The sequence below is a fragment of the Homo sapiens genome, chromosome 3 (assembly GCF_000001405.40).
Source record: "Homo sapiens chromosome 3, GRCh38.p14 Primary Assembly".
Lineage (NCBI taxonomy): Eukaryota > Metazoa > Chordata > Mammalia > Primates > Hominidae > Homo > Homo sapiens.
Genome location: NC_000003.12, coordinates 20,273,136 through 20,282,684, shown reverse-complemented (window position 1 = coordinate 20,282,684; position 9,549 = coordinate 20,273,136). Strand labels below are relative to the sequence as shown.

The 9,549-nt window shown below is 41.2% G+C and overlaps 1 annotated feature.

Moving 5' to 3' along the window:
* Positions 2,122-2,322: a silencer, noted in NCBI's record as "peak4563 fragment used in MPRA reporter construct". NCBI's record gives its function as "represses an SCP1 promoter by STARR-seq MPRAs in K562 erythroleukemia cells {active_cell/tissue: K562}" and the evidence as "EXISTENCE:reporter gene assay evidence [ECO:0000049][PMID:32103011]".

Here is a 9,549-nt window from a genome sequence, read left to right as displayed (position 1 = left end):
CAATTATCATAGTGGTCCTGAGGTGACGTACATCCTCAGCTTATGAAAGATAACAGGATTAAGAGATTAAAGTAAAGACAGGCATAAGAAATTATAAAAGTATTATTTGGGAACTGAAAAATGTCCATGAAATATTAACAATTTATGTTCCTCTGCTGTGGCTCCTAGCCGGTCCCTCCATTCAGGGTCCCTGACTTCCCGCAACAAAGGTATACATGGACAGATGGATGATTGATTAAATAAGCACATTAGAATTGAATTTTTCAAAACTGCACAGTATATTATTTAATTTCCAAGTTGAATTCTAGAGCAGTTTCATATGCAGAAACTGCCATACCCAATATGAACAACCTATTTGAAGAAATAATTTTAATCAGCTTAAAATAAAGAGACACAAATTTAAAAGAATTTCTGAAGAAAAGTGAAAGATAAGAATCAAGTCAGGTGGGAAAGAGAGAGAAGGTTAAACCCAGAAAAATAAAAGCAATGAAAAAGAACGTGCTGCGATGGATCACAAAACTTTAGCTCAAGTTCTTACATCCAAGGCAAGAAAAAAAGAAAAAGAAAACAAGTGGTTGTCAAATTAGTGCTCTCTAATAAAACAAAACAGACCATAATATGAGATTATAAGAAAACTTTATCATGTAGAAACTTATGATATTTGAGTCAATAATAGGCCGAGTGTGGTGGCTCACACCTGTAATTCCAGCACTTTGGGAGGCTGAGGTGGGTGGATAGCTTGAATTCAGGAGCTCGAGACCAGCCTGGCCAACATGGTGAAACCCTGTCTCTACTAAAAATAGAAAAATTAGCCAGTGTGGTGGTGCACACCTGTAAAAAAAGAGGACTAAAAGAAAGTCCTCTTTTTTTTTTTTTTTTTTTTTTTTGCCAGGAACACTATGTTGAGGAGAGAGTTCTCAAAATTAAAAACAGAATAGGAAGTAATAAAAAATTCAGTGGAAGATAAAGCTGAAGAAATATCCCAGAATGTGGAACAAAATGATAAAGAGTTGAAAATAAAAAAGTGCAACAAAATTGGAGGACTAGTCTAGGGGTTCCCATACCTTAAAAACAAGATTTCCAGAAAGAAAAGAGAAAACAAAGCAGAGGTTGGTCTGGCAGTTTTTCAAGAACTATTTCAAGGAAATGTCTCAGAACTGAAAATTTCCAAATTAAAAGGCCCCACAAAATATCCAACATAATGGATTAAAACATCGTCACCAACCCACATTATTGTAAAATTTTGAAAAATTTCGAGAAAAAAATTGGGAGGGGAAAAAAATCTACAAGCTTGTAGAAAGACAAAAACAAGTTTCATATAAAATCTCAACTATCGGCCAGGCACGGTGGCTCACAACTGTAATCCCAGCACTTTGGGAGGCTGAGGCAGGTGGATCACTTGAGGCCAGGACTTAGAGACTGGCCTGACCAATGTGGCGGAAACTCCTCTTTACTAAACGTACAAAAATTAGCTGGGCATGGTGGTGGATGCCTGTAATCCCAGCTACTCAGGAGGCTGGGGCATGAGAACTGCTTGAGCCAGGGAGGTGGAGGTTGCTGAGATCACACCACTGCACTCCAGCCTGGGCGACAGAGCAAGACTGCCTCAAATTAAAAAAACAAAACAAAAAAAAACTCAATAACAGACATCACTAAGCAATGTCATTTTCAATGTATTTCATTATAGGTTTTTAAGTACACATCAGGAGACTTTAAGTGTCATATAAATTATAAGTGTGTAATGCATTCATTAAATAAAGCTAGAGTGGGTTCTGCCAGTAGGATACTAAAGTCAGTGAGACAAACCCCACCCTTCATATATAGAATTTATAAAATAACAAACCAAGCTTGTTTCATGACTCATAGAACCCTTGTGAGGAGAGCAGTAATCACCTGGTGACCATCAAACACCATCTGGAGGCAAAACTTCTTATCTGAGGAATTTAGAAGGGAACAAAGACCACCTGGTCGCATCTGGTTCCAGGTCTCTTTCAACTTTTATAAGTAACTAAAATTTCTATACTTCTCTGGAATGTCATGCTGAAACTCATTTTACAATGCCAAGCTCCCGCCTTAAGGTCCATAAATACCCCTAAGGAAAATCCACCACGGTGCTCAGTCCTCTCACTGAGGCGCTCCACTGTACCCTTTTGCAGCGTTCCTCCTTTCTAATAAACTTCCCTTTTTCAAACCTATACTGTTGTTGGTAAACTACAACCCGCGAGTTCACCACTTCCTGGTGCTGAGGCTCTCACACCTCCCCCGGCATCTTGGAAATACCAAGGCAAAAAAAAAAAAAAAGAGGCTAGGGAGTAGATTTTGGAGGACATTGATGAGGAGCTTGCTCTGAAGAGAGCCAGCCCACTTGGGATGACTTGATCTTGTCAATAAGACTCAGCAGAACAGGAGAAGACTTAGCAGAAAGTCACTGGGAATTTACCTCTGGAAGCTGAGACTTAAGAAAGAAGATGCAAGTGACTAACAGGAATAGAGATTAAGCCACTAGAAAGAACAACACCTTTGAAAAAAAGAAAAAAGAAAAAAAGAAAAAGTTGCAACTGCGTTTTAAATCAGGAAGTCTTTTAGGTTGGCGCACTGATGTGTCTCATCTTAAGAGTGCTTTGGAAAGGGGAGAAACAGGATACTTTAAAATCCAGAAGTTTCTTTTATTTCCTTTTTTTATAACAATTTTTAAAATGTGACTATCTAAACATGGAAAAAAAACGCCTCCCAATATTCCCTTCAAAAACTTTTCAAGCTTCAAAGACACTTGCTTTATACCCAACAGACTTGATCTTTACACTTTGAGAAGCGTTACTGTATTCAGTTGGCTCCAGGGTGTGAAAAGCAATTCCTCACACTCTATCAGCTTTTGACAATAGGCACTTATGGGCCTGAGTGATCTAAAATAGATTAATGAGGCACTAAAGTACTTTAATGAATAATGGAGCATTTTAAAATTTATTTTGTTTTTTAATTCATTTAACTGCAATCAATTTAACAGTTGAAACACTCCCTCCTGAGTATATTAAAAGGCATATTATATTGAGGTTTTATTAATTTATTATGTTTCAATTCATTTATCATGTATTCATTTTATTAATTTATTCATTGAATTGAGCTTCACCATACAAATATTGTAGAAATCAATGATTTTATTCGGTTTTATGTTCAGCACAACAAGTTTTCAGCACATTAACCAGGGAATTTGGAATCTGTGAGCAGAAACACCATTGGCATAATGCAAAAATATAGTTATCATTTCAAAGAGCATAGGATAACTAGAGTCCACTCAAGAATTTTGATTCTATCTCCCTTAAAAGGTAGACTTTTTTAAAATAATCAGATAGTTTGCAGGCATTCTACATCCTTCTCCTTTTGTTGACTTACTCATCTATTTGTAACATTCCCTTCCCTCTCTCAGAAATACACTCTTTTTAAATGCACCCCCTACCCTCCTTTCACTGATAAAAGTAACAAAGATCTTAAAGAACTGAGTCACACCACTGTTCCTTATGTTCCCATCTATACTAATAAAGAGTGATGGTGGGATTTTGGGTATTTCTACCCATCATAAAGAAATTTGTAAATAATATTTGGCAGACTAGGTCGGGGAAGATGGTTTTCCCATGTGATAACAAAGTTTTGGCTGTCATGTATATGGAAGGTTGTTCTTACCTGTTAGAATGACCTAAATCTTTTTGCAAAACATTTTTCTTTTTAGAGGGTTAGAATTTTATCTGTGAGATTTAACCAGAAACTATCTTGTCATTTAGGTCCACAGAACCAAGCCTGTTTGGAAAACAGTCCTTTAAGAAAAGCTTGTTTCCTTGCTCAACTCAACTGTCTTGACCGCCTTAAACCAAAAGCAAATTTGGAAGACCCCTCCTGCCAAAGCAATCTAAAAGAAGTGAGTGTACTAGCTTGCTTAGCAGTCCACAACTTCAGCAACTGGGCTGATGCAGGTAAATCCTATTTGAGGGTTCAGTCCACCCCTGATAGTGGATCAACTCTGGGTCATTCTTGCAGCTGAATTCTTGCAGTTATGTTTCTAAACTTAACATATCAATTATTTAATTACTGTGCTGTGGTATTAATTCCCAGTGCCTACCTTTTCTCCTTGCCTTGCACAGTGCCTTACACATTTATCAATAAATATTAGTCAAGTGTATGGATGAATAAAACAATTTCAAGTTCCTAGGTGCCCCATTCTTATCTAGAGTCCCTGCTTCATGCTACAATCCCTCAGAAACTGGATTATCTGCTCATCTCTGAGTTTCTAATACCTAGTACTTGTCTGAAGGCACCATCTGAATGGCTCCTATTACTTAAAGCTCAGATTATTTTCTATGCTGCCCTGTATTGATATTCTTCACCTTAGAATCTTACTCAGATTTTAGAGAATCCTTTTCATGTCTCTCAAGATCTCTCCTCCAAAATTTAATCTCACGACTTGAAATGCAGCTTTGGGTACATCTGTCATGAGACCAATTCCTAGAATGACTGACCCTGAGCCATAATGTTACGTTCAAACCTGTAGATTCTGCTTTCTCTACCAGGTCCTTTTACTGAGTCCCTGCCTGCCCTCTCCCCACATAACTATCATGATCTGATGTCTGATTCAAACAGGTTGTTCTTTACTCACTTTGAACAGAAGGACAAAAAGGAGATTGCAAACAGAATGGTTTATACGACCACCTTTAGCAATACATTGGAGTGAATTCACTAACAAAAAACACTCAGGTTTAAGGGGAAAAGAAATCTTCTAGATCATGCCAATTTTCTGCTATCTCATCTCCATATCAGGCTATTATCAGAAAAAAATACATTTATTCATTCAAATATATTTATAGAGTTTCTAGTATATGTAAGATTCCCTGGTAGATTTGGAAGGTGTTTTGCTGAACAGGACAGATGTGGATCCAGTCCTGACGGGGTTCACAGTTGGCCCATTTTTCATGGATTGTTCTCACTACGAATTCATAATTTCTAGGATAAATGAGTTTTTGGCTCTATCTTACCATCCTATGTGTTTGCGGACAGTTTTCTCTCACATGCTGCTGCACTGTGGTTATTTTATTTTATTTTTTTTTTTTGAGACAGAGTTTCGCTCTTTCGCCCAGTCTGGAGTGCAGTGGCCCGATCTTGGCTCACTGCAACCTCCGCCTTCTGGTTTCAAGCGATTCTCCTGCCTCAGCCTCCTGAGTAGCTGGGATTACAGGCGCCCGCCACCATGCCTGGCTAATTGTTGGGGTTTTTTGTTTTATTTTGTTTGAGACAGAGTCTTGCTCTGTCACCCAGGCTGGAGTGCAGTGGCGTGATCCTGGCTCACTGCAACCTCCGCCTCCTGGGTTCAAGCAATTCTCCTGCCTCAGCCTCCCAAGTAGCTGGGACTACAGGTGAGTGCCACCATGCCCCTGGCTAATTTTTTGTATTTTTAGTAGAGACAGGGTTTCACTGTGTTAGCCAGGATGGTCTCGATCTCCTGACCACACGATACGCCCACCTCGCCCTCCCAAAGTGCTGGGATTAAAGGCGTGAGGCACTGTGCCTGGCCTAATTTTTGTATTTTTAGTAGAGACGGGGTTTCACCACGTTAGCCAGGCTAGTGTGGAACTCCTGACCCCATGATCCGCCCACCTCAGCCTCCCAAAGTGCTGGGATTACAGGTGTGAGCCACCATGCCCAGCCCACAGTGGCCTTTTAAAAACACCTTCACTCACAGCAAGTTCCTCCTTCTCCACCACACTCCTTACTCTTAAGCCATGGCATCATCTCCTATTTTACAGAAAAAAAAGAGGCATCATCACTCAGGAATTTATTCAAATATTATCTCACTTCCCAATTACAACATATGGGCAAATTTGCTTCTTTTGTCCTGTTAAACTAGAAGAGGTGTCTTTCCCTGCCTCTGAGATCAATCTGATACCACTGCCTGGCTTCCTCAGAAATCTCTATTCAACTATCTTCATGCCCCTTTCCTGTGCCCTCGACTATTCTATTTCCACAGATTCCTTCCTGTTTAAACAGGCTGCAGTCGTTTTCAGGTAAAAGAAAACCCCACTTAGATAAAAGCTAAAAGTAATAACCATCTCTGTTGTACCTTTCTTTTTCTCTTCCCTTCAAACTTTTTGAAAAAGGTGTCTCATGTATGGTTTCTACATTGGCATCCTCATCTTCCAGTCAGTCTCCCCCTTCCATCATCTCACACATTTCTCTACTGACTCTAGTGTCACAAAAGTGTGTCCAGAATTGGTTCCTTCCAGTGGGTTCTTGATCTCGCTGACTTCACGAATGAAGCCACGGACCCTCATGGTGAGTGTTACAGTTCTTAAAGATGGTGTATCTGGAGTTTGTTCCTTCAGATGTTCAGATGTGTCCAGAGTTTCTTCCTTCCGGTGGGTTCGTGGTCTCGCTGACTTCAGGAGTGAAGCCACAGACCTTCGCAGTGAGTGTTACATCTCTTAAAGATGGTGTGTCTGGAGTTGTTTGTTCCTCCCGGTGGGTTCGTGGTCTCACTGACTTCAGGAGTGAAGCCGCAGACCTTCACAGTGAGTGTTACAGCTCATAAAGGTAGTGTGGACCCAAAGAGTGAGCAGCAGCAAGATTTATTGTGAAGAGCAAAGGAATAAAGCTTCCACAGCGTGGAATGGGACCCTAGCAGGTTGCCACTGCTGGCTCAGGTGGCCAGCTTTTATTCCCTTATTTGGCCCCGCCCACATCCTGCTGATTTGTCCATTTTACAGGGGGCTGATTGGTCCATTTTACAGAGTGCTGATTGACCCATTTTACAGAGTGCTGATTGGTGCATTTTTACAGAGTGATGATTGGTGCGTTTGCAATCCTTTAGCTAGACACAGAGCGCTGATTGGTGCATTTACAATCCTTTAGCTAGACACGAAAGTTCTCCAAGTCCCCACCCAACCCAGAAGCCCAGCCGGCTTCACCTCTCAGTCCTCCCTCTAAACAGGACACCCTAACTGCTGTTGGGAATCGGGTGATGACCACTCTAGCTAGTTCCTGGGGGATGGGGGCTATGAAGGGGCCCTGCAGTTCTAGTGTCCTCCAGAGGGGAACTCTTTAGGCCACTGAAAGGGCCAGTGGGTTGGTCCAAGGGTCCTTGGTAGAAGTTGTTAGTTGAGCTCATTTGGGGTTCCATTTGTAAGACCATCTGTAGCTTGATGGCCTCGATCCTAGAGGAAACAAACTTGAAAGGAGGTTAAAAATACAGGTCCCAAAGGCAAATAATAGCAAGATGGCTGTCACAGGACCTAGGAAGGGGAGAAGCCATGTTGTCCAACTCCAGACATTGGTATAAGAGTTTGAAAGGCATTGTCTGATTTCAGAAGCCTGTTCCTGTAAATGCCAGGCAGCATCTCACACTATCCCTGACTGGTTAGTGTAAAAACAACACTCTTCCCCTAAGAAGGTGCAGAGTCCTCCTTTCTCAACAGTGAGGAGGTCTAGGCCTCGGCGGTTTTGGAGAGTCACTGCTGCCAAAGAGTCTATTTGGAATTGCAGAGTAAGGATAGGGTTCTTTATTTCTTGCAAACTGTCTGAGAAATCCTTTGGGAGTGTGTGGTAGTAGGATAATGAAGTAGATAAACTGGCTATTCCAGTTCTTGTAGCAGTAGCCATTCCTAACCCTATAAGTAGGGGTATTAGTTGTATGGCCCTGCAGTGATGGACTTGAGCTTTCAGGGGCACTGATAGGGTCTGATTTCCATAAGATTAGAAGTTAGGATAATACATTTTACATGGTTAACTTTTAGCAAACTTTACTTTTGTTGAAAACCTTGTAAGTTTAGGATTTTAATTTTTCTTTGCTATTAATAAAACCTCTTTCAGTCCACATTAACTAAGAATTGGTATAGATGGCTCCTTCATGATTCTAAAAGTACTTTATGGTTTGGCTGAGTGCAAACAGCTCGCATGTTTGAACAGACCAATTTTTAGGCAATTTTCCTAACTCTGCTTCTACAAGAGTTTCCTTATCACTTACCGAATACCCATTGTGTCTTTTTTCCTTAATCGCCTGGGAGGAACCATCTATCCTCCTGTCCTGAAGGGAGTCCCTCCTAGATCTGGTCTGAACTTTGTATGGTAATTAGTTAAGATTTAGATCCCCTGTTAGGAAACCTGCAGGGTTAAGGATTTTTGATAGGAAGGCTATAGGTTGTCAGAGGCCTCAGTGCTTTCGGGCTACACCCTTGTTTAAACTGACAACAAGGTGGTATTGGAGTGTTATAGGGTTACAGAGAAGACCTTCAATTATCAATTATAGGTTTTAACTTTACCCTGGCTTTTAAAGGAATAGGGTAAACAGTTTTTTCTTTACTACTTCCATCTCTCTTTCTCTTTGACTTCTTCGTCTCTCTCTTTCTGACTCCCTGTCTCTTCCTCTCTCTCTTTGACTTTCTGTGTTTCTCTTTCTCTCTAACTCCCTCTGTCTCTGTCTCTTCCTCTCTCTCTTTCTCTGACTTTCTGTCTCTTTCTCTCTCCTTTCTGCTGGTCTTTCCCTGCCTTTGCCAGCTGCTTACGCTGCTGTTCTCCCCTCTCCTTCCCCTTTTGATGGCTTCGGCAATGTAAGACTGCCACCTCCTTGGGTTTTTGCACTGTGTGCAATAACTCCATAATTTCCTTGTGGTATTTAATGGGGGTTCCCCCAGAGGTTAAGAACTCCCTTTCTTTCCATATTGCAGCATGGGCATGTAGGATTAGATAAGCACACTTGCTATCTGTATACACATTTATTCTTTTTCCCTTTCCCAGTTCTAAGGCTCAGGTAAGTGCCACTAGTTCTGCTAACTGGGCGCTGGTCCCTGGGGGAAGAGGCTTACTTTCGAGTAATGTTACTATGGCATAACCTGCCCTTCACATCCCATTTTCCACAAATGAACTTCCATCAGTATATAGGTTATGGTCAGGATTAGCTAAGGGGACTTCCAAGAGATCATCTCAGGCGGCATAAGTCTGGACTATAATTTGTTGGCAGTCAAGCTCGATTGGTTCCCCATCTTCTGGGAGAAAAGTGACAGGGTTGAGGGCTGCACACGTACGTATTTTAAGCACTGGTCCCTCAAGGAGTAGCAACTGGTATCTAAGCAGGCGGTTGTCTGATAGCCATAAACTTCCTTTGGCACCCAGTATGCCATTTACATCATGAGTAGTCCAGACAGTGAGATATTTTCCTTGTATTATTTTGATAGCCTCTGACACTAAGACAGCCACCGCCAAAACTACCCATAAACAGTGAGGCCAGCCTTTTGCTACTACATCAATTTCCTTACTTAGGTATGCCACTAGTTGTGGGGTTGTTCCACGAGTCTCAGTAAGGACCCTAAGAGCTATTCCTGCTCTCTCTGTGACATATAAAGAAAAGTTTCATCCTGTGTGAAGGCTTAAGGCTGGAGCTTGAGTTTGTTCCTTCCAATGCCCAGACTTCAGGGTTGATTCCCTCCTCAAGCAGGGGACAAATTGTTAACTTGTTCCCCATATTCATGTAGATAATAGCTCCAGCTTTGGCTAATATATCCCTCCCTAATAAGG